Source organism: Homo sapiens, chromosome 4, assembly GCF_000001405.40.
Source record: "Homo sapiens chromosome 4, GRCh38.p14 Primary Assembly".
Classification (NCBI taxonomy): domain Eukaryota; kingdom Metazoa; phylum Chordata; class Mammalia; order Primates; family Hominidae; genus Homo; species Homo sapiens.
In genome coordinates this window covers 9417288-9444413 of record NC_000004.12, presented here as the reverse complement: position 1 = coordinate 9444413, position 27126 = coordinate 9417288, and the positions used below count along the sequence as shown (strand labels likewise).

The following is a 27126-nucleotide window of genomic DNA, read 5'->3' as shown; positions in this document are numbered from 1 at the left end:
AACATTTCTGTGTTTCAAGGAGATTTTATATCAGGAGAAAGCATGCAATCATCACGACTATCAGTCATTTAAAGTACATTTATCAAAGGTCAAGAGGGTGTGTGCAAAGGTAGTAGAAAGCACAGCCATGGCAAAGGCAGGAGAGAGACTTGAAATATCAGCATTGTCTTATGCATTCTGGAGGAACTGTAAAAGTTAAGGAAGCAGTTATAGAGGAAAAGCATTCATTTTATTTTTCTGATAATAGGAAGAAGCACGTAATACAAGAGCATGCCTATTTATTAATATTTTGGCACCGTGTGTTAGCATGCTTAAGCAATGGAATTAAATATGAAATTATAAACAGATTAGTGAGATACAGAACAACTTTTATTTGATTATCTTTCTGTCCAATCGATCAAATGAGATAAACTAATTTTTCTATTGAAATCTAAGTTCACACAAATTGTTTGCACATCAGTTATGTGTAATATGAGAGGAATTAAAGAAAGAAAAGTGGGCCTTAGGGAACCCATAATACACTTCGGAAAGCAAGTAATATATACAAAGAAACGGCAATGCAACACGAGCATATTTCTGGCAAAGAGGCACAAATTACTTCTTAGACACTAAGGAAATGAACATAAACACCAGAATACTTTGGGTGCCGTAGGGAATGCTTAAAGAGGGTATGAGTAAACTTTATTTATTTATTTATTTTTTATTTAGAGACAGGGTCTCACACTGTTGCCCAGGCTGGAGCGCAGTGGTGCGATCTTGGCTCACTGCAACCTCTGCCTCCCGGGTTCACGTGATTCTCCTGCCTCAGCATCCTGAGTAGCTGGGATTACAGGCACACGTCTCCATGCCTCGCTAAGTTTTGTACCTTTAGTAGCAATAGGGTCTTGCCATGTTGGTCAGGCTGGTCTCGAACTCCTGGCCTCAAGTGATCCACCCGCCTCGGCCTCCCGAAGTGCTGGGATTACAGGGGTGAGCCACCACGTCTGGCCAGAATATCAACTTCAGAAACTGCAAAGTACATGCACATTCGTGGTCTTACTTGACCTTCATTCCTTTCTAGATGGTGTCACTACAGGTGAAGTAACTTTTCTCAGTACCAAGAAGGAAGTTCTCTTTCTTCCATGGCTTCTTCTTGGTGCTACTTCTATAATACTTCAGAGTGTTAGTGAATGGAACACTTGGTTACATTATTTCAGAAGGTCTTCCCTGCCTTTAGAGACTTTGAAAATGAAATCTTGAGTCAGGGATGGGGAGGTCTTGGAAGAGGCAAACTTCCCAAGTCTTAGCCTAAGGAGGGCCAGTGAGGGGCATGAAAGCTCTGGGGATGTTTTTTCCTAAACCTCCATTCAGGTCCTTCCTCCTGAGTTGCTGGGGCAGCGGTGCCTGGGCACAAGCCTCTGCCAGCACCCTAGAAACTCAAAGGGGGATCTTAGTGTCATTGTGCTGGTTATTGCTGACTGCTCCATTTACTGAAGCCAGAATGGCCTAGGATCATTAGCATCTCTGATCCAGAATCCAGAATTTACTGATTTTTCTCACCTCTCTGGGAATTATTTCTTTCTTGATCACGAGGAAAAGCTTTGGAAGTACAGTTTACACTGCAAAGCAATACAATTTATGAGAACAAATAATTGAAATCCTTTATGGAACACTAAGGGCATAATTTTCACTGCTTGATATTTTCTATGAACATTTGTTTGCCAGCCTCTTGTAGGTTGGTGCAAACGTATTTGTGGTTTTTGCCATTACTTTCAATGGCAAAAATCGCAATTACGTTTGCACCAACCTAAGAGATTTGGAGCCAGGAGGCAGGCTTGGAATTCTGCCCAGGAAGCCCAAGAACATTGTGTAATCCATGGGCTACCAATCACGGATATCAAAGAAGGGTCAGAGAAAGGTTCACTGCATTCTGGGGGTGGACCAGTAGGTACCAGATGAGCATTGAAAGATGGCTTAGATTGCAGAGGGCTTCAGCAAAGAAAGATAAAGTGCTTTGACCAATGACTTTCCTTAAAAGAACACCAAGAAGAAAATCAGATAGCTATCAAGCTATCAAATATAAGCTGTCACAGTAGAAGAAGAAAGAAGGTAATTTACCATTAGATAATTAAATTTGACCGAGAAATTATGGCGTTTTATTGCACCTAACTCTCCAGGAAGGCACCAGATTTTCAATAGACAATTTATAATCAAGTATTCATTGTTTACCTTCCTTTCCTGCCTTCAGCAGTACTGACAGCTTTGGGGACTTTGAGGCATTAATTATCTATTTTTCTTCTTGTTGCTGCCGGTTTTCTTTTTCTTATTTATTTATTTATTTGAGACAGAGTCTCACTCTGTCACTCAGGCTGGAGGGCAGCAGCGTGATCTGAGCTCACTGCAACCTCCACCTCCAGGTTCAAGTGAATCTCCTGCCTCAACCTCCCCTGTAGCTGGGATTACAGGTGTGTGCCACCACACCCAGCTAATTTTTCTATTTTTGGTAGAGATGAAGTTTCACCATGTTGGCCAGGCTGGTCTTGAACTCTTGGCCTCAAGTGATCTGCCTGCCTCTGCCTCCCAAAGTGCTGGGATTACAGCAGTGAGCTATGTGCCCGGCTGCTGCCCGCTTTCTACATCCATTGTTTTCCTTACTTTAAGTCTGTCAATATCCTCAAGTTCCTGCCACGTTAAAAACAAAACACAAAATTGTCTTTCCTGTATTTAGTTTGTTTTTTTAATGAATGCCCTAGCTTTTCCCTTTCCCCCTCAGGAAAACCATAGTCTCTATGCTTCATTTCCATTTTATCTTTCATTCACTTCTTACCCCACAGGTGGCTGACATTTTTCCTCAGCTTTCCATTGAATATACTTTTGCTAAATCACTCACAAGTTTTTCTCTGTATAAGAGTAGACAAACACATATATGTCTATATCCTATAAGTATATTTTATTTTTATTGATTCCTAAATATTATTTCATGTAAAATTGGAAAAACTAAGATTATCATGATAATAGATATAACACATTACTTGATCACTTAAAAGATCATTACTATTTTAGTTTATTTACTTTCCATTAAATTTCTCTCTCTCTTATTCTTGTGATTCACCTATAGTTTTATTTATTTAATAAGTATTACTTTATTGTAAATATTTTCCTATACTATTTTCAAATACTCCAAAACAGTAATTTTCACTTTCTGCATAATATTCCATATTATGGATATTTCATAATATATTTATGTAATCATCCTTTCATTGTTGGGCATTGTTTTTTGTTTATACTTTCACTATTTAAATGTTATGAGATTGTCCCAAGGGGCTTCTCTACTATTTTCAAATCAATTTCTGGCTAGGTCTCCTGACCCAAGTGGCTGCTGGAGTTGCAGGTGTGCTTAACTTAAATGGAGCGAGTGAAACATTTAGTTCAATATGTTGTTAATTGAAAGGAGAATCTTAGTATAGACTATTTTCCAGTATAGGTAAAAAATGGATAATAACTTTGTTCAACTAGCAAAATAAGAGAAAAAGATAGAAAATAGGGTAAAAATAAATGATAGACATAAGGTCAAAAGAAATGAGTAAAATCACTCCATCAGTTGTTAGGAGGCAATTTTTTTTTCTCTTTCTGCACTTGAGTTGATCAAGTCTATAGATAGATTCTCTCCATAGCTATGAGAAGCATATTGGCACAAGGTTGCTCTCTCTCTCTGTGTAAATGAAGTATTGGCTCTAGCCTGGATGTTCCCTATAAGCTTCAGAATAAAAAAAATCAACTATTTACTTGACATCTACTTTTGGATGTCTAATAAGCAACTCAAGAATTCCAAAATGAATTTTTGATTCATACCACTTTCTCTGTTAATACTCACTCCCTTTAGTCTTGCTCTCTCAATGATGGGCTCATGTACCTAGTTGTTTAGGTTAAAAAACAAAAACGAACAAAAACTCTGAGCATACCTTTGATTCTCTCATTTCATAATTACAACCCATTAACAAGCCCACTTCTATCTTTAAAATATCTCTTTTATTTTTTATTTTTAAAAATTTTTGAGACAGAGTTTCACTCTGTTACCTAGGCTGGAGTGCAATGGTGCGATCTCTGCTCACTGCAACCTCTGCTTCCCAGGTTCAACCGATTCTTGTATTTCAGCCTCCCGAGTAACTGGGATTACAGGTGCTAGCTACCAATTCTCAGCTAATTTTTGTATTTTTATTTTGGGGAGATGGAGTTTCGCCATGTTGGTTGGGCTATTCTCAAACTCCTGTCCTCAGATGATCCGCCTGCCTTGGCCTCTCAAAGTGCTGGGATTATGGGTGTGAGCCACTGGGCCCGGCCTAAAATGTGCCTTAAATCCAACCTTTGTTCACTTCCTCTGTCATTGCACCATTGTCCAAGTCACTAGTGTCTCTGGAGAGAGCCCTCTAACTTGTCTCTATGTTTCTATGAGAGCTTTGCATACTCTAATTTATGGTCAGACACCAGAGATATGTTTCTAAAATGCAAATTAAATCAAATTATTTCCTTATTGAAAATCTAATTATGTTTTTTAAAAAAAACTACATAGAATAAATCCAGTCTGTTTACATGGCACGCAATGTCCTACCTGATTTGGTTGCTGAATATTTCTCCGATCCTTTATTTCCTGCTACTGTTCCCTCTTTTCATTCTGTTCCACAAGTATTAGTTTTCTTGCTCTTCCATAAACATTTCAAACTCATTTCTACCTCATAGCCTCTGTTTTTACTATTACCATTGCAAGGATTATTCTTTTCTAAGATATTTCTATGGAAACTCTGTCCCCCTATTTCATTCAGTCTTTGTTCCTGTGTCACCATCACAGAGAGGTTTTCCATGATTATTGAATAAATTCTAAAATAAAATTGATATTGAAAACGGCATGCTCCCTGCAGCAAGTTGCTAATATCAGAAATCAATAACAATAAGATATATTCCCAAATTCATACACAGAGATATTAAAACACAACACATTCCTACATAACACTTGGGCTAAGGCATACATAAAAATGAATACAAAATAATTAGATCTGAAGAAACGGAAAGCACTATAAATGAAATCCTGTGGATTGCAGCCAAAGTGGTATAAAAAGGGACATTTATGGTTTTCAAGACATTTACTAGAATTCATGAAAGTATGAAAGCAGCGTACTGCTCAACTGAAGAATCGAAATAAATAACAAAATAAAAAGAAGAAAAACCTGAAACAAAATAGGAGGCAATAAACAAAACTAATATCACACATAAATAAGAAACAAAACAAAGCAAGAAACATTGTAGAGTTATTTAGTAAGACCACTAGGTAGTTTATGGGAAGATTCATATATTAGTTGAGTCTTAGGAAAACATCATGAGAAAAAGAGAAAAAAAAAATAATACAGGGAAGAAAAGGAACATAAACTACAGATAGAGAAGAGCTTTGATATCATGATAGCATCCTTTAAACCCTCTATCCTGAATATGTGAATGAAATGGACACTTTTAGGGAAATACAAATGAATAATATTGACCAAAACAAACTTACAAGTGGTCAATGTTCTATCCTTTTACATCAAAAAGGTGCTAGAACTCGCAAGATTTTATGTACAATCCTGAAGGAATAGATAATTCCCATTTCTTTTTTTTGTTTTTTTGAGACGGAGTCTTGCTCTGTCACCCAGTCTGGATTGCAGTGGCAAGATCTCGACTCACTGCAAGCTCAGCCTCCCAGGTTCACGCCATTCTCCTGCCTCAACCTCCCGAGTAGCTGGGACTACAGGTGCCTGCCACTATGCCTGGCTAATTTTTTTTGGTATTTTTTAGTAGAGATGGGGTTTCCTCCTGTTAGCCAGGATGGTCTCGATCTCTTGATCTTGTGATCCACCCACCTCGGCCTCCCAAAGTGTGATAATTCCTATCTCTTAAGAATAATTGAGATTACAGATTGAGCTAGGTGGTTACTCAACACATTTTATGAAAGAGAATAAGCACAATATAGAAATTTCACAGGGGTAGTGTATTAGTTATTGTTGCATAACAAGGTTTCCCAAAATGTCGTGGCTTAAAACAACAAACTGATTATCACAAGTTTCTGTGGGATGAGGCTTAACTGGGTGCTTTTGGCTAAAGGTCTGTGTTGAGGTTGCAGACAAAAGCTGTCAGCTGGAGCTACATTTTAATCTGAAGACTGGGAGTGTGGGGGTTATATATAAACTCATTCACTGGCTTTTTTCATGTAGCATAATGTTGTGGAAGTTCATCCATGATGTATCATCTATTAGTATTTGTTCTTTTTTATTATGAAATAGTGTTTCTCCATATAGATATAGTACATTTTGTCTATCCATATACTAATATATGGGATAGAAACCTAAGAATAGTATCATTAAATTGCATGATATATTCATATTTATCAGTTTTAAGAAAAGGCCAAACTATTTTCCAAAGCAGTGATACTATTTTATATTTCCATCAGCATTGTAAAGGGCCCTCATTTAGCCACATCTTCATGGACATATTTTATCGCTGGTCATTTTTATTATAGTTATTCTAGTGTGTGTTAAGTGGCTTCTCATTGTGGTTTTAATTTGCATTTCACTAATGACTAATGATTCTGATAATCTTTTCATGTGTTTATGCCCATTCACATATTTTCTTTGGTGAAATGTGCACTCAAATCTTTTGCCTGTCTTATTTATTAACAAATTATTAATTATAAATTGATAAATTATAGTTGTCTTATTTATTGGGTACAAAGTGATGTTATGATTTATGAATTCAATGTGGAATAATTAGATCATGGTAATTCACACACCAATCACCTAAAATCATTATTTTTTTGTCTTGAGAATGGTTGAAATGTATTCTTTTGGCAATTTTGAAAAGTATAATACATTTTTTACTATATTCACCATGCTGTGCAGTATATCTTAAAGAAACCTTATTCTCCTGTCCAGTTGAGTCTTTGTACTGTTTGACCATGATATCCTCATCCCTTTACCATCCCCAGCCTCTGGTAACCACTGTTCTACTATCTGCTTATTTGAGTTTGATTGTTTTAGATTCCACAAATAAGTGAAACATGTAATATTTGTCTTTCTGTGCCAGGCTTATTTCACTTAGCATAATGTTCTCCAATTCCATCTTTGTTGCTTCAAATAAAAAAGTTTCTTTTCTTTAAGGTAGAATAGTATTCTACTGTGTATATATACTATATTTTCTTTATCCATTTATCTGTTGATAGACACTTAGGTTGATTCCGAAACTTGACTATTGCAAAAAGTGCTGCAATGAACATGGAAATGCAGACATCTCTTCAATATACAAATTTCAAGTCTTTTCAGTAAATACCCAGATGTGAGATTGCTAGGTCATATGCAATTTTATTTTTATTTTTGTTGAGAAACTTATAAGTTTTCCATAATGGCTACACTAATTTACATTCCTACAACAGTGTGCAAGTGTTCCCTTTTCTACACATCCTCTCTAACATCTGTTACATTTCCTCTTTTCTGTAGTAGCCATTCTAGCAGGTGTGAGGTGATATCTCATTGTGGTTTTAATTTCCATTTCCCTAATGATTAGTGATGTTGAACACTTTTTCATAAGTTTATTGGTTATTTGTATGTCTTCTTTTGAGAAATGTCTATTCACCTCCTGTGCCCATTTTTTAATTGGACTATTTGTTTTCTTTCTGTAGAGTTGTTTGAGTTCCTTATAAATTTTGTCTATTAACTCCTTATCAGATGTATGGCTTGCAAATATTTTCTCCCAACCTGCAGATTGTCTCTTTAATCGTTTTCTTTGGTGTGCGTAAGCTTTTTATTTTGATTATAATCGAATTTGTCTATTTTTGCTTACATTGTCTGTGCTTTTGCGGTTAGAACTTTAGTTAGAACTTTAAGTTAGAACTTAAAATGTCCAATGTCAAGTTCAGCAGGTTTCTCACCTCAAGGGACAAGAGAACAAAGCCAGGAGCCTGGTACCAGCTTCCCAGGATTAGGGCACACAGTCCAGGAGTAATGAGCTGAGCCTTGGCCCCCAGAAGTTTCCCAGAAATGAAGCCAGTCAACGGAACCCACCTTATTCCACAATCAAACCGTCAAAGGTGTCAAAGAATATAAGAGCAAAAACCCCATCCAAAGGACAGTGATATGGTTTGGCTCTGTGTCCCCACCCAAATGTCACCTTGAATAAATCCCCATGTGTCAAGGGCAGGACCAGATGGAGATAACTTAATCATGGGGGTGGTTCCCCCATGAGTGAGCTCTCATGAGATCTGATGATTTTATAAATGAGAATTCCCCTGCACAAACTCTCTTGCCTGACACCACGTAAGACGTAATTTTGCTCCTCATTTGCCATGACTGTTAGGCCTCCCCAGCCTAACAATGTGGAATTGTGAGCAAATGAAACCTCTTTCCTTATAAATTACCCAGTCTCTGGTATGTCTTTATTACCAGTTTGAGAACAGATTAATACAGACAGCAACACCAAAGTTAAAGAAACATCAGTCTACACAGATTAAAAAGAAGCAGCACAAGAACTCTGGTAACTCAAAAAGCCAGAGTGTCTTCTTACCTTCAAGGGACTGCAGTAGTTCCTCAGCAATGGTTCTTAACTGGGCTGAAATGACAGACATATAATTTAGAATCAAGATAGGAATGAAGATCATCGAGATTCAGGAGAAAGTTGAAACCAAATTCAAGGAATCTAAGGAATCTAATAAAACGTTATGAGTTGAAAGACAAAATAGCCCTTTTAAGAAAGAACAAAACTGATCTGATAGATATGAAAAACTCGCTATGAGAATTTAATAATACAATCACAAGTATTAACAGCAAAATAGGCCATGCTGATGCACACGTATGTTTATTGCAGCAGTATTCACAATAGCAAGACTTGGAACCAACCCAAATGCCCCTCAGTGATAGACTGGGTTAAGAAAATGTGGCACACATCCACCATGGAATATTATGCAGCCATAAGAAAAAGATGACTCTGTGTCCTTTGTAGGGACATGGATGAAGCTGGAAACCGTCATTCTCAGCAAACTATCCCAAGGACAGAAAACCAAACACCACATGTTCTCACTCATAGGTGGGAATTGAACAATGAGAGCACTTGGACACAGGAAGGGGAACATCACACATTGAGGCTTGTCATGGGGTAATGGGAGGGGGGAGGGATAGCATTAGGAGATATACCTAGTGTAAATTACGAGTTAATGGGTGCAGCACACCAGCATGGCCCATGTATACATATGTAACAAACCTGCACGTTGTGCACATGTACCCTAGAATTTAAAGTCTAATAATAATAAAAAAAAATAGGCCATGCTGAGGGAAGAATCTCAGAGATTGAAGGCTTGTTCAGTTAGACAAAAATAAAGAAAAAAGAATTCAAAAAATGAACAAACCTCTGAGAAATATGGAATTATGTAAAGCGACCAGATATATGACTCACTGGCATCCCTGAAAGAGCAGGAGAGAAAGCAAACAACTTGGGAAACATATTTGAGGATATCTTCCATAAAAATTTCCCCAACCTCACTAGAGAGGTTGATTCAAATTTAGGAAATGCAGGGAATGCCTGCAAGATACTACACAAGACAACCATCCCCTAGACATATGTCATCAGATTCTCCAAGGTCGACATGAAAGAAAAAGTATTAAAGGCAGCTAGAGAAAAGGAGCAGGTAACCCATAAAGGGAATCCCATCAGGCTAACAGTGGACTGTTAAGCTGAAACTCTATAAGCCAGAAGAGATTGTGGGCCTACATTCAGCATTCTTAAAGACAAGAAATCCCAACCAAGAATTTTATATCCATCTAAACTAAACTTTACAAGCAAAGGAGAAATAAAATCCTTTTCAGAAAAGCAAATGCTAAGGAAATTTGTTACCATCAGACATGCCTTACCAGAAGTCCTTAAGGGAGTGCTAAATATGGAAATGAAAGAGTACCAGCCACCACGAAACACAATTAATTACATAGATATTGACACTATAGAGCAACACACAATGAAGTCTGCATAATAACCAGCTAACAACACAATAACAAGATCAACTCCACACATAGCAATATTAACCTTGAACATAAATGGACTAAATGCCCTACTTAAAAGGCACAAAGTGGCAAGTTGGATGAAGAAGCAAGCCCCAACTGTATGCTGTCTTCAGTGTCATTGCATGTGAGATTCATCACACATAGGCTCAAAGTAAAGACTCAAAGAAAGATCTGCCAAGCAAATGGGAAACAAAAAAGCAGGGGTTGCCATTCTAATTTCAGACAAAACAGACTTTAAGCCAACAAAGATAGAGATAGACAAAGAAGGGCATTACATAATGGTAAAGGGTTCAATTCAACAAGAAGACTTAGCTATCTTAAATATATATGCACCCAAGACAAGTGTGCGCAAATTCATAAACCAAGTTATTAGGCACCTACAAAAAGACTTAGATAACCACACAGTAGTAGTGGGAGACTTCAACACCTCACTGACAGCATTTGACAGATCATTGAGAGAGAAAACTAACAAAGATATGTAGGCCCTAACTCAACACTTGACTAAATGGACCTAAAAGACATCTACAGAACAGTCCACCCAACAACAGAATACACATTCTTCTCATGTGCACATGGTGCACACTCTAAAATCAACCATGTGATTGGCCATAAAACAATATTCAGCAAATTCAAAAAACTCGAAATTATACCAACCACACTCTCTGACCACATCCCAATAAAAATAGAAATAAATATTAGGAAAATCACTAAAAACCATACAATTACATGGAAATTAAACAACCTGCTCCTGAATGGCTTTTGGGAATGACTTTTGAGGCTGCATCTGGAACCACATGTAAGCAGGGCTGCAGCAGGGTCCACAGGCAGATGGCGGTGTTTCTGTGCTCATGGCCAGGTCTATGATTGGTGAGCCTACTCCCAGGGGCATGGGCCTGCCTTCTCAAAGCAGTTTTCTTTGGTCTTGGGCTCTAGTGGGTTTTCATGAGCTCCTGACTGGGTCCTGATGTTCCCACAAAGACATTTTATCCAGGGATGGTTGCCAAATCAGTGTTCTGTGGGTGGATGAAGGCTGGGGACCTTCTACTTAGCCATCTTACAGATGTTCTGTTTCATTTGTTCTTTGATTTATTTTTCTTTTTTTTTTCAAGTAGTTGGGTCATTGTGATTATTCAATTTTTTTCTTATTAAACTGTTGTGTTATTTAAGAGTTGCTTTAGTGTTCATAGTATTGCTCTTTAACCCATCACAGTCTATCATTGGGTGCCATACTACTTTACATCTAATATAAAAACCTTTCAAGGTTATATGAGCTATGGTTCTTACAGCAGCAAAAATAATTTATTTTGTATTTTGAATATGGAAATTGCAATCTTTTTCTAGTGATAGTAAAATCCATTTTACTTGGACTATTTTCTAATATTTTTGTGACTTGCCATTTATTCAGAAACTCTATTGTCTCGATCATATCAAATTTTCCAGAAAGATAGAAAGAACAAAATGAACTTCTAAATGTACAACTGGCAAAGGTCTGAGAGTATCTCAAGCTTTCATGATATATGGTATTGCCTTTGTCTTTTTTTTTTTTTTTTTGAGATGGAGTCTCGCTCTGTCACCCAGGCTCGAGTGCAGTGGCGCAATCTCGGCTCACTGCAACCTCTGCCTCCTGAGTTCAAGCGGTTCTTCTGCCTCAGCTTCTTTAGTAGCTGGGATTACAGGCACCCACCATCATGCCTGGCTAATTTTTGTATTTTTAGTAGAGATGGGGTTTTGCCATGTTGGCCAGGCTGGTCTTGAACTCCGGACCTCGGCCTCCCAAGGTGTTGGGATTACCGATGTGAGCCACTGCGTCCGGCCTGCCTTTGCCTTTATATAACAATAAAATTAACTCCTTTGGGGTTTATCAACTATGCCCTCATAAATTAGTATCAATATAATATGTTCCATGCACAGAATCATATCATTGTATACAGTAAACATGGCCTTTTCCAGAAGATATAGTCAAGTATTCCAACAGATTGCATGTAATTCACCCAGTCTTACTATCAAAAGGCACAGACAGCCTTTTCCCAGAAATCTTTTAAATGTCCCTAAAACGTGGATTTCTGCACCTCTGGATGAGATATCAGAGCAATATTGCCCTAAAATCTCAATGGTTAAGATATGGTCAGGTATTTATAACAACTAGCACAGCAGTAAAAAAAACAAAGGGTTATCTCTAGATCTATATCTTTCAGATAAAGAGACATAATTCATCTTTGGATTGTCAGAAGACTTTTCTGATCTATTATTTTATATGTGAAGCTGTCTTACTTTTTGAAAGTTTACAGACAAAGGTCTCTACTTGAGTGAATTTTCTAACTCCTATTTACTTTCAACTTTAACTGATAATTTCTTTACTATAGTGGTTTTCAACTAGGGACAATGTTGCCCTCAGAGGACTTTTAGTAATGTGTAGAGATTTTTATTTGTTTGTTTGTTTATTTGTTTATTTTTTGGTCACAGGTGGGAGAAATGTTTTAGAGGCAAGAGAGGCTGCTAAACATCCTACAATATACAGGAAAGCTCCCCACAGCAAAAAAAAAAATTGTTCTTCTCAAAATGTTGACAGTGCTGGAGATCAGACACATCGCTCTACTTTATATTGTATTGTCTGTCCCTGAACTTCTTTATTAAATGGCCAATATTGTATGGTAAAATCGAGAGTATTATCCAAAAGAAAATTAAGAAAAACAATCAGGATTAGAAATTAGAGGCTCCTCTGCCTATGGAATAGCCATTCTTTTATTCCTTTACTTTCTTAATAAACTTTCACTTAAAAAAAAAAAGAAATTAGATTTTCTGGACTGATTCTTTTTGTTCCTTATCTTTTTCATTTCCCTTACCTGTTTTTTCTTCTTGCTCAGATATAAAAAACGTTCTGTCGAGGTGCGGTGGCTCACGTCTGTTATCCCAGCACTTTGGGAGGCCGAGGCGGGCAGATCACAAGGTCAGGAGATCGAGACAATCCTGGCTAACATGGTGAAACCCCGTCTCTACTAAAAATACAAAAAATTAGCCAGGCGTGGTGGCGGGCGCCTGTAGTCCCAGCTACTTGGGAGGCTGAGGCAGGAGAATGGCGGGAATCCGGGAAGTGGAGCTTGCAGTGAGCTGAGATCGCGCCACTGCACTCCAGCCTGGGTGACAGAGCGAGACTCCGTCTCAAAAAAAAAAAAAAAAAAAAAGTTCTTTTTGCTTCAGTGAGTTGAGATGTTATATTAATTCAATGTCAAGTCGCTGAAGAAACTTTCACTAATTCACTAAGACGGAGAATAAGAAATGAGTGATGACTTTTTTTTTTTGCTTACATTTAATAGAAAAATTTGGACTTAACAAGGGAAAGATAATTTCATTTCAGGCAGTAATTCATTTGGATTGTAATGTCTTTGGGCTTTAACATAGAGATAGAAGAGATTCAATCTTTGAACTTCAATTTATGCCTAGAAATTTTATAAGAACACTTGTTTATATTCAAATGTGAGAAATTTTTCTTTTTTAGCATTTTAATATAGGAGGGTATTTATGACTTTTAAAGTCTCTTAATGTCATTTAATTATCAAAGAATCTCTAATGTGCTACACTGGATAATGTAGTGGCACATAACTTAAGATGACAAAGAAGAGAAGATGTAAATTTTCAGCTATATGTAAGATGTATATGGTAAAAATTGTATTAGTGTATTATTCTGAGATTAGCTTAGAATCTGATCTCAGAGTAACATGCCGTTCATGAGTGATTCTGAGAAGATATAGAAAAAGTAGTGACTAGTATTGAAGAAACAGATCCATGAAGATGAGTTTAAAGTTATTTTAATAGACTCCTGACATCTCCTCTGCATAGGGAGATAACCCATCCTCCCCTGATTCATTGACCATAAGCTCTGTGGTTAAAAAAATACGAACTCTTGAATTTTGTTTGTGGGGTAATTTGGCCTCATTCTAGATGTTTTCCACCTTTGTGACACTCATGCCATGTCATACTCCTGGTATCCTCCCTGCCCTTTAATTTTCTTGGCCCCAGGAAATGGAGTTATCTGATGGAGAGTTTGGAAAGAACTAACCAGGCATGCTGAGTTAGCAACTCTTCAGCTCTACAGCTTCTCCTAGTGAGGCTACTTGTAGAAAGCAGGTCTTCTTTTCTACTTCTCTAGGGGCAGGGGGCAGTAGAGGGGAGCCCTGCTTCAAGTGCTGGAATGACTGGAATGGTCTTGCGCCTAATTCTCAGGTGCAATGTTAGCAAGGTTACATGATTAGCAGGCTTTAACCCATATTATCTAAGTAGGTCTCTATTAGTAATGAAAATGATATTTGTTCAGAACTGGATGAGGAAGAAGACTGACATTGCACTTCAAATAATCAAACACTGCCCACTGATACTTCATATTCTTACTGTTTTACATATTTAACATTTTAATCTTTTTTTCTTAGAAACATATTTTTTGTAAGTACCTGTAGGGTATGAGATTCTTCTGTTATTTATTTTATTCTTATAGTTCTTAAGAGGCTTGCATGTGCATCAAGAAGAAATGCTACAGGAGGCAGTCAGTACATGTGGGATTAGGACAACATTTATTTCCAGTCAAGGAAGAATAAGACATTGGATTAAACAGGAGTCTGCAAAACTTATCCATCCATTCTAGAGTTCAAAGGGCTTAATGTTTGCTCCCAGCTAAGGAGATTTTCCTTTGGGAACTGGAGTTGGATAAGGCTCAAGTATCCACCACCTTCTACAACATTTTTTTCCTTCATTACATATACCAATGGTATCATCTAGTGTGCTGCATAGTTTGTCTCTGCACACGCCTTTCAAAGCAATACACTGTTTTTGTCCTGGAATAACGCCAGTCTTTCCTACACAGGAAGAGATTTAAAAACATCATAATTCACTATTGAAAATATACATAAAACAATAAACACCCAGAAGAATGGCTTTGGGATAACAAAGAAAACATTGTCTATATGAAAGGATCAGACCCGTAGAGAGAAATAGTGCCTTTTTATGGGAAGGGAGCTAAGATTGTAGATTATATACACCTTGGAGGAAATAGGCCAATTTCTAAAATCCTTTAGAGGGATTGTCATCCCCTAGCATGTACATTTTGAAATGTGTGGGACAATTTGTTCTTGCCACCATGCCTAGGGAAGGTGTCTTTGGTATTTAGCAGATAGCACAGCATTGCTAAATTTTTCACCTAAGGAATTGTCTTGCACCAAACACCAACAATGCCACCACTAAGAAACAGTTTCAAAGGAAGTATTTGTCCCTCCAAATTCCCATCTGTGCATACATCATCCCTATCAAATGGTTCATGTTCATATCTTCATCTCCTTTCATAGAAAGCCTATCAATCCTTGAGATTTTATCTAAACTAATTTCCTCATTTCAGGACTATGTAAGAAATACCTTTCCTATGTTGCTCAATACCTCATAGATAGATGGAGGGATGGATAGATAGATAGATAGATAGATAGATAGATAGATAGATAGATAGACAGACAGACAGACAGACACCTGGGGAGAATTACTCACAGAGCTAAAAGGTATTTTCCCTTAAGTGTATCCACATGTTCTCTTAATTCATCTGGTTGTTGAGAAGCATATGGCTAAGGGTGTGCTCTAATTCAGTAGTTTTCTCTATGCTTACTATCCTTTCTCTTGCCTTCTCAGCACAACCATAGTATATTTTTCCTACTCTATATCACTGCAGATGTTATATAAGAAAAACACTTTTGCTGATGTTCATTAACAGACATTAGTTCCTGAACCATCCTGTTAACACACCTGGATCTTATTTTGTTTTTACTGTCCTCTAATATACTACGTCTGGTTTCTTTACTTCTGTAGATGAGTAACAGTTTGGTGGCCTTTTCAGCTCTCAATCTTTTTGTTGTTGTTTGTTATTGTTTTGTATTTAAACGAGGCTATCATTATTGTTTCTCTGCTCTGTAGAAATAGATCCATAGCCAGAAAAACCAATGCAGCCTTTTGGAACTGAGTGCTCATAACCTATGCAAGATTGTCTTCCACTCTTGTTAGAAGCTTCAACCTAGTGCAGTCTGGTATTATACTCTACTATCAGACTAGCAGTTCATAAACTCAGGGTTTCTGTGCAGCAAGAGAATATCATGATGGGGGAGTTGGGTAATATCTTGTAATATTCTCTCTTTTTTCCAAGACTATTGTGGAAGAGAAAGTGGTTGCCTTTCAGAGAGAGACCTGAAGTCTCCCCAGCCAGTTGTGGAAGGCGCTGGTTCAACTGCATTGTCTACACAGAACACAGGCTTCATGCTGAGAAGCATAGCAAACCTGTTGCTAGCTGTTGGTCTTTTCCCTGATAACTTCATCCATACATTTAACATCTGGCAACATTGCCAGACTTTTTAAATGAAGCTAAAATCGGGGGTTATTAGTACTGGGAAAGATATAGTAAGAGGCAGAGTATGGCATCAAGGAGGCCTATGAATGTGAACTTAGAGGCATCCCATGCAAAATGAGGTGAAATGTGAATCTTCAGCTGAAGCCAAAAGAGTGAACTTCCTCTCAGTAGGATGCGTAACTCACTATACTGTAAAGTTCAGCCTACTGACACAGCATGTAACCTAAGACAGTGCCAATTCCTCTATTTGGGAGATGTCCCTTGCTTCACTCAAAAGGAGTGGAACAATTCATCCTACCAGTGATGTGCTTCTTGCTACATGGGAAGCTTAATTTAAGGAGGTATGCTTTGAGCATGAAGCCAAAGAGTTATAATCTCCCTTTTTACCGATGACTGTGACATATCGTCATGCCAAGGGCACTAGTTTAAGTCAAAAAGATAAGATTAAATTACTTAATTCATATTCAGATTCATATTCCTCATTCATGAGGAAGGAAATTTCTTCCCAGATATTCACATTTATTTTCAGACTTATTGACAGAAGTATATACATATAGAGCAAAAGAAGAGAGGTACTCTCTAATACACTTTAGAATTTATTTGACATTAATATGTTATAATGGTTATATCGCATGGCAGTTGAGGAAAGGATGCATATTTAATAAGTGCCTTTGGAAAAAGAAACAATTTAGATGTTCACTTCATATTATATCACAACATTAATTTCTGTGGATGCAGTGAGAAGGACTTAGAATCACACTGGAAAAGACCCTTAATAGCGCATTCATCTACTTTCTAAAAGGATATAACTTTCTTAGCATTAGAACTCATTGAGTCAGTAACTTTTAAGTTCTTTTTTGGGTGATGTAGAGGATTTAAATGGAACAGGCTCTTCCTGGAACTTTATCAATCAAAAAATAGAAGTGCAGTTTCCTTTTCTCTACATAATGTGAGTTCAAGCTGACTTCTGCTCCTGTCCAATGTCGTGTATTTAGATATTATGTTATTCTCCACAGTCAGTGTAAGAAGAATGCTATAATTTTCTTAATTCTCAGAGAGCTAATGCAGCAATTCAAGATTTATGCCATTCTAATCACTTTAGACTCATATTCGCAGCATTTATATGTATGTTTGTGTGTACATGTAAATCTATATGAGCTATTCCAACTTTTTATAAGATACCATGGATTCTTCTTGGAATAAATATAAGGATATATAAAAACATATATTCAAGTAGCTATAACTTAATATTCATCAGACATTAAGCTGATAAACTAATATTTCAGATTATGTAGTTTCTTTGGAGAAATTTTTTCATGAAAATAACTTTTTTTACTAAATTGGATTTTTTTGGTATAAAAATGTCTTTAACAAAACTCTTCATGATCTAGCCACTCAATTTTTCTTAAAATAAATTTTATCAGTTAAAAGTTATATAGGAGTTATAAAATATCTAAGATTATCAGAATGCTTCTAGACAGCTGATAAATTCTACATACCCAACAGTCACAGTAGAAATTAAGATCAGAATTTTTGGAGTGCAGTAATATTAAATTGTATAGACAGCTCAGCAATTAACTATTCATTACTAAGAGACCATACAAAACTGATAATGAAATTCCTAATTTTCGACCTGAGTGTTCTGGGTCCCACTTCATAATGTGTCCAAGAACATCTCAATATGCAAAACTAAGGTATTTTGACCTTTATGTATGGTTTTAATATCCTCTGATCACAAGAAACCTGGATATTCAAAAGTGATTCCCTCCTGTGCAGAATTATAGGACCTTCATTTAATCCTTCTTCCTGGTATAACAGATTTGGAAGGAACAAAGAAGGGCTGATATTTCTATTCCTGCAGGAAGATGACACGGCTTGAAAGGCAGGCCTCTGAAGGATTCTTGTCATATTTGTGGGGAGATTAACTCAGCTTTCAACCTCAAATAACCTCTTGTTCTTCATCTTTTATTTTATTGTGGTAATAACACTTAAAGTGAGATCTACCTTCTTAAGAAATTTTTAAATGCTATAGATATAATATTGTACAGTTGATATTTAGAGCTTATTCATCTAATAAAACTGAAAACTTTTACTCATTAAATAGCAACTCCCTATTTCCTCCTCCCTCCCCAGTCCCTGGAAACCACCATTCTGCTACCTGTTTCCATGAGTTTGACTATTTTAGGTACCTCGTATAAGTGCAATCATGCAGTATTTGTCTTCTGTGACTGGCTTATTTCATTTAGCATAATGTCCTCCAGGTTCATCCATTCTGTCATATATAGCAGAAAACCTCCTTAGTTTCCTCAATATATAATTAGAAGATTTTGAGAAAAAAGTCTGGCAGAAATCAGAGTTATCATTTTTGTATGCATATCTACACCTACGGATTGATTAAAAACCACATTGACCCAGATTAAAGAGATTTGCTTTTAGCTGCAATGTTGCTACTACCTATGTGATCTGAGTAAAATCACATTCTTTATCTGTACATGGGTTTTATTATCTAAAATAAAAACAATTGCCGCTAAATTTTACTTTAATTTGAAATTATTACCATCATATAATTTCATATCTCATGTCACTACAAGTGTGTCTGGCCTCAATTGTATCTTCTGACCAAAGCTGAGAACCAAATGAGAATTGCATAAGCTCCTTCAGAAGGAGGCAATCATATGTGAGGTGGATCTCAACATGTCCACAGATTAGGTAAAGATCAAACAATTGAGTAGCTTTGATTGCACTTAAAAGAATCTCAGAACTGGAACAAAACAAGAGTGCCCTCTCTCACCATCCTAATCAACATAGTACTGGAAATACGAGCCAGAGCAATCAGCATTTTGAAATAAAAGGCATCCAAATCGGAAAAGAAGAAATCAAATTACCTCGTTTTATTGATGATATTATTCTACACTTAAGAAACCCTAAAGATTATTTGAAAGCCTCCTGGACCTGATAGACAACTTTAGTAAAGTTTCAGGATGCAACATCAATGTACAAGATCAGTAGCCTTTCTATACACCAATAATGTTCAACCCGAGAGCCAAGTCAAGAATACAATCCCATTTCCAATAGCCACACAAAAAAATAAATACCCATGAATAAATTTAACCAAGGAGTTGAAACATCGCTACAAGTGACACTAAAAATCACTACTGAAAGAAATCACAGATGACACAAATAGAAAAATATTCCCTGCTGTGGATTGGAAGAATGAATATTGTGAAAATGGCCATACTGCCCAAAGCAATTTATAGATTCAGTGCTATTCCTATCAAACTACCAATGACATTTTTCACAGAATAGAAAACACTATTCTAAAATTCATATGAAACCGTAAAAGAACTCAGACAAACAAAATAATCCTAAGCAAAAAGAACAACACTGGAGGCATCATCCTACTTGACTTCAAATCATACTGTAAGGCTACAGTAACTAAAATGGCATGGGACTGGTACAAAAGCAGGCACATGAACCACTGGAACAGAATAGAGAACCCAGAAATAAAGCCGCACATTTATAACCATCTGCTCTTTGACACAGTTGACAAAAATAAGCAACGGGGAAAGGACTCCCTGTTCAATAAATGGTGCTGGGATACCTGGCCAGCCATAAGCAGAAGAATAAAACTGGATGCCTATCTTTCACCATATACAAAAAATTAACTCATGATGGATTAAATATTTAAATGTAAGACCTCAAACTATAAGAATCCTAGAAGAAAACCTAAGAAACACCATTCTAGATATTGGCCTTGGGAAATAATTTATGACTAGGTACTCAAAAGCAATTGCAACAAAAACAAAAGTTGACAACTAGAGCCGAATTAAACTAAAGAGCTTCTGCAGAGAAAAAGAAACTATTAACAGGGTAAACAGAAAACAACAGAATGGGAGAAAATATTTGCTAACTATGCATCTGACAAAAATTTAATATCCGGAATCTACAGGGAATTTAAATCAACAAGCAAAAAACAAATAAAGTGGGGAAAAGACATGAAAAACATGAACAGTCTCTTCTCAAAAGAAGACATAGAAGCAGCCAGCAAACATGAAAAATAGCTCAACATCACTAATCACTAGAGAAATACAAATCAAAACCACAATGAGAACTATCTTACACCAGTGAGAATGGCTATTATTAAAAAGTCAAAAAATAACAGAAATGCAGATGAAACTGTGGAGAAAAGGAGTGCTTATACACTGTTGGTGGGAATGTAAATTAGTTCAGCCACTGTGGAAAGCAGTCTGAAGATTTCTCAAAGAACTTAAAACAGAGCTACCATTCCACCCAGCAATTCCATTACTGGGTATATCGTCCAAAAGAAAACAAATAATTCTACCCAAAACATACCTGCACTCCTATGTTCGTCACAGAACTACTCACAATAGTAAAGACAAAGAATCAACCCAGGTGCTCATTAATGGTGGACTGGATAAAGAAAATGTGGTACATATAGACCATGGAATACTATGAAGCCATAAAAAAGAACAAAATCATATCCTTTGTAGCAACATGGATGATCTGGAGGACTGCAAATTAATGCAGAAATAGAAAACCAAATACTGCATGTTCTCACTTATAAGTGGGAGCTAAACATTTGATACTCATGGACTTAAAGATGGGACATTGGAGACTACTAGAGTGGGGAGGGAGGAAAACAAGGATTGAAAAACTATTTGGTACTATGCTCACTACCTGAATGATGGGATTACCATCATGCCCCAAACCTCACATCACAAAATATACCAACATAACAAACCTGCACATGTACCCCCTGAATCTACAATATAAGTTGGAATTATTTAAAAAATAATCTCAGAGATAAAGGGAGGAAGAGATCTTTGCTCATTGACCACACACTTTATTTTGGGGGATATGAACATCCCACTATTAAGAGTGGAGATAATAATTTTATCATATCTTATCAGGATCTGGATGAAACACCCTGAAGATGTATGATTCTTTATTCCCTTTTCTGTTTGATTCTACATTTTGATATTTAAACTTCTGAATCATGGACCCTGAGGATGCAACTACGAGTCTTGAAGTGTTTTCTGTACTGTTTGTCTTATGCTTAAAATTTTGCCATTAAAGCTTCATGCCACTGTTTATTCTTTTCCAAATTCCCTTGCTCCCAAATTTCTATTGGTCTTTTATAAGTAGATGTAAAATTTTCTTGTTGAACTCTATCTTATTTGCCTAACTGCTACCCTTCACAAATATTCCTCACCAATAGACTCAACATCACTTCCATCCACTACCGAGTTCGAACCAAGAACTATCATCTTCACTCTCCTTTTTGGAGAGTGAAGCCTTGGTGATAGCTCTTTGCTTTATTTACTAACCTTTAAATCACATATCAAAGCTTCTATACCCCTAACTCTATTTCGGCCCCATTTCCTAATTATCGAGCTCTTGAACCCCCATTTTCTGTTGAAAGAACTCCTTGTCCTGCTTCTCAACTGTGGCCTCATTAGTACCAAAGAAGAGAAACATGTTGGATTTCTGAATTCCTAAGGCTGTGAATTGGGGTCTGAGTTAGGATGGCCACAGTATAATTATCTCAGTAGACCTCCTCCGGTCTAGGCGTCGCAATAGACTTCTACAATCATTCACCATCTTAGCTTTTGGTATTAAAGTCACAAAGAGGAGGAGAACAGAAATAAGGGAATGGAGTTTCGTGGTTGAGTGCCCAATAGAGAGGTGAGTGATCAGGGCTGGTGGAACACAGGGGCTTTTATTTAATTCTGGGGGCCTGAGGTTCCTCTTGCTCAGTGAAGCTTAACAGAAAGGAAATAAAACAGCTTCCGTTGGAATATTTCCAAACTCGAAGGTCTCTAAATTTGGTGACAAATTAACCTAATTGTAGGAAACCAGATGGCTAACCCTTTCCTTTTTCTATGGCTCTCAATTTCACCAGAGGTTAATTAATACCTTTAGTTAATTTTCTTCTTTGAATGGGGCCAAGAAGTAAAGCCATGTGGGTACAGAACATCCTTATTGCAAAAGTCCTAGGGCTTGTAAGGAAACATTTCCATAATACACTGTTTTTTTTTGTTTTTTTTTTTTTTTTTTGCAAGAGGGACAAGAGTATTGTCTAAGGTCCATTCATGAAAAGCTACTTTTTTTTTTTTTTTTTTTTTGAGACGGAGTCTCGCTCTGTTGCCCAGGCTGCAGGCTGGAGTGCGGTGGCGTGATCTCGGCTCACTGCAAGCTCCGCCTCCCAGGTTCACGCCATTCTCCTACCTCAGCCTCCCCAGTAGCTGGGACTACAGGCGCCCGCCACCACGCCCGGCTAATTTTTTGTATTTTTAGTAGAGACGGGGTTTCACCATGTTAGCCAGGATGGTCTCCATCTCCTGACCTCGTGATCCGCCGGCCTCGGCCTCCCAAAGTGCTGGGATTACAAGGCGTGAGCCACTGTGGCCGGCCCTGAGGTGTTCTTAATCACATCTGAAAGGTGGAGAAATTTAATTCACATTGAAAACAAATATTTTTTCATCGTTATGGATCCTTTGTATAATTATCTCATACAACAAGACAAGTAAGATCAGGACAGTTGAAAGATAAAAGACAGAGTAAAGTGCGCAGCTCCTGTCAAAAGACTCTGAGCCTATACCTTAAACAGATTCCCCTAACCTTTCACCCTAACCCACCACATAGCAACAAGATATTGAAAGCTTAAGAGCATGCCTTTAATCAAGAATCAATTGACCAAAATCCAACTTACCCAAAACAAATATGCCTTCTGTTCAATTTCTTATTGGCATACTTCCCTGAATTGATATTTTTTTAAATTTGTAAACTTTCATATATCGTGTCAGTCTTTTTTGAAAAATTCTATATACATATATAATATAACTTTTATATAGCATTTATTTGACTACTTTTGATCATTTTCATGTTAGCTGATGTATTTATGAGCATTTGCTAATTTATTTCTTCATTAATAATTTATGCCTTAATAATTTTAGGTTTGCATAAATGTTCCAAAAGACTAATATTCAAAATATTTTTGGAAAAGTAGAACAAAGCCCGAGAATTTAGACTACCTTGTTTCAAGACAAAGCTACAATAATAAAGACACTGTGATACTGGAATAAGGAGAGACATATAGTTCAACAGAACATAATAGAGAGTCAAGGATAAGACCATCATATGAATGGTCTGTATATGGGTAAGACCATATATATTTATCCATGCTCAGTGATTTTGACAAAGGCGCTAAGTCTTTTTTTTTTTATGCCCTCATTCTTGTTTATGTAACTAATTCAAGTGGTTCATGCGCAGGTTTGTTACATGGATAAATTGTGTGTCCTGGGGGTTTAGTATACAGATAATTTTCCCAGGTATTCAGCATATTACTCAATAGGTAGATTTTCAATCCTCACCCTCCTCCCACCCTCCATCCCCAGGTAGGCCTTAGTGTCTGTTGTTCCCTTCTTTGTGTCTCTGTGTATTCAGTGTTTAGCTTCCACTTTTTTTTTTTTTTTTGAGACAGAATCTTGCTCTGTTGCCCAGGCTGGAGGGCAGCGGCATGATCTCGGCTCACTGCAATCTCCGCCTCCTAGGTCCAAGCGATTCTCCTGCCTCAGCTTCCTGAGTAGCTGGTACTACAGGTGTGTGCCACCAGGCACAGCTAATTTTTTGTATTTTTAGTAGAGACAGGGTTTCACCATGTTAGCCAGGATGGTCTCAATCTCCTGACCTCGTGATCTGCCTGCCTCAGCCTCCCAATAGCTTCCACTTTTAAGTAAGATTATATGGTATTTGGCTTTCTGTTTCTGTGTTAATTTGGTTAGAATAATGGCCTCCAGCTGCATCCATGCTGCTGCAAGGGACATGATTTTTCTTTTTCATGGCTGCATAGTATTCTGTGGCGCATATATGCCATATTTTCTTTATCTAGTCCACTGTTGATGGGCATCTAGGTTGATTCCATGTCTTTACTATTGTGAATAATGCTGCAATGAACATACACATGCATGTATCTTTATGGTGGAATAATTGATATTCCTTTAGATATATACTAAGTAATGGGATTGCTGTGTCAAATAGTGCTTCTATTTTAAGTGTTTTGAGAAATCTTCAGGCTACTTTCCACTATAGCTGAACTAATTTATATTTGTGCTAACAGTGTATAAGCATTCCCTTTTCTCCAAAGCCTCACCAGGGTCTGTTATTTTTTGACTTAATAATATCTATTCTGACTGGTGTGAGAGGGGATCTTATTGTGGTTTTGATTTGCATTTCTCTAGTTATTAGTGATATTGGGCATTTTTAAAAATATGTTGGGTGTCTCTCTGTATGTCTGTTTTTGAGAAGTGTCCATGTTTTCCAAATTTTTAAATAAAGGTTTCAGTTTTTGCTTGTTGACTTAAATTCCTTATAGATTCTGGATATTAGACTTTTGTCAGATGCATGGTTTGCAAATATTTTCTCCCATTCTGTAGTTTGCTGTTTACTCTGTTAATAGTTTTTTTTTTTCTCTGCAGAAGCTCTTTAGTTTAATTTGGCTGCACTTGTCAATTTTTGTTTTTGTTGCAGTTGCTTTTGAGGACTTAGTCATGCATTATTTCCCAAGGCCAATGTCAAAAATGATGTTTCCTAGATTTTCTTCTAGAATTCTTATAGTTTGAGGTCTTACATTGAAATCTTCAATCCATCTTGAGTTAGTTTTTTGTATATGGTGAAAGGTAGGCATTCAGTTTTATCCTTCTACATATGGCTAGCCAGCTATCTCAGCACCATTTATTGAACAGGGAGTCTTTTCCCCATTGTTTATTTTTGTCAACTTTGTCAAAGAGCAGATGTTTATAGGTGTGCAGCTTTATTTCTGTGTTACAGCAATCTTTATCTCTGGAATAGAGATTCTGTTCCGATGGTCCATGTGTCTGCTTTTGTACCAGTCCCATGTTGTTTTGGTTTCTGCAACTTTGTCTTATAGTTTGAAGTCAGGTAGTGTGATGCCTCCAGTGTTGTTCTTTTTTGCTTAGGATTACTTTCACTCATCAGACTCTTTTTTTTTTTTTTTGGTCTCATATGAGTTTTAAAATAGTTTTTCCAACTCTGTAAACATGTCATTAATAGTTTGATAGGAATAGCACTGAATCCGTAAATTGCTTTGAGCAGTATGGCCATTTTAACAATATTGATTCTTCCTATCCATGAGCATAGAATGTTTTTTCATTTGTTTGTGTCATCCCTGATTTCTTTCAGCATTGTTTTATAATTCTCACTTAGAGATCTTTCATCATCCTGGTTAGCTGTATTCCTAGGTATTTTTATTTTTTCTTCCAGCTGTTATTAATGGGATTTTGTTCTTGGTGTGGCTCGCAGCTTGGTGTATAGAAATGATATTGATTTTTTATACATTGATTTTGCATCCCTAAACTTTACTGATTATCAGGTCTATGGCCTTTGGGCAGAGACTATGGAAATTTCTCATTATAGAGTCATATCATCTCTGAAGAGAGATAGTTTGACTTCCTCTGTTTCTAGTTGGATGCCTTTTATTTCTTTCTCTTACCTGATTGCTCTGGCTAAGATTTCCAGTCTTTCAACTAGTGGTTCTGGAGAGGGAGATACAAACAGAAGTCATATAACCTTTTATTATGTAGCATGAGAAGTCAGAAAGCATCGTCTGCACTGTATTTATTAGTTAAGGCAGTTACAAAGGTTTGCCTCAGATCAAGCAGAGGGAACATAGACTTCACCTCTCAGTGGAGGATTATCAATGTTACATTATAAAAAGTTCTTGTGAGATGGAATACATATTTTTAGAAAACTACAACTTTTGGAAACGCATTTTTGAAAAATACAATGTGCCACTGTAGCTATAATTTTTTTCAGTTTCAAAAATGTCAGTTTTACTTGGTTCAATCCATTATGCTCTTGACTAAAACTGCCAGAATTTTAATGTCCTTCATTTTTAATATTGGGAATTGTTGTGACTAATAAGTAATAATAATAGTATAATGAATAAATTTTATGGTACAAATAGTTTAATAAAAAGGTTGTGGTGTAGTGACATCAGCAAAAATGGAATAAAAATGTTCAAAATTTTATCTCTTTATAAAATATACTAGAAAACTGGCAACAACTGTCAAAATAAAGCTTTTTAGAACTCTGAAAACTAACCTAAGGTTTTTAGCAATCTAGGGAGTGCTAATTCTAGCAAAATATCTCATCTCAGTAAGAATATCGATTTGTGGTTTTTCACTTACCCTGTTTCCATTCTTCTCAGAGAAGCAGCAGGCTTGAAAATAATGCCCAGATTCTTAATACCAGTGCCAGAAAAACAGAATGGACCTCATTCATGAAAAATTGATCTGCCTGTTGACTCCCTCAAATATATTCTCAAAAGCCTTGTTTTTTCACCTAATCTGGACTTCACGCAGTGGTAAAGCTGCTACTTGGTGTGGGCCGGTGTTAGAAAACATTTATTGAAAAACATTATAAATACTGCTGCCTGAACACTGGGGAAAACAATAGACTAAACAAAAATCTTGAGAGAAAGTACTGGGAATGAGATGCTTTGGGGAATATGGGCTTTGAAAAGCTTCAACATATTTCTGAGAATTTGCAAACTGTGTATGTCAAGGCTGTGTGCATGTTCAGTAAAAACCTGGGAAATTTCTACCTTCCCTGCACAAGCAGAAAATGTAGGCCAAACAGAGTTGAAAACTGTCTGGCTGAGTGTTG

At 36.8% G+C, this 27126-nt stretch overlaps 1 pseudogene; it reads right to left on the bottom strand.

The window, feature by feature from the left end:
- On the bottom strand, nt 14712-22101 carry DEFB130D (defensin beta 130D (pseudogene); annotated as a pseudogene).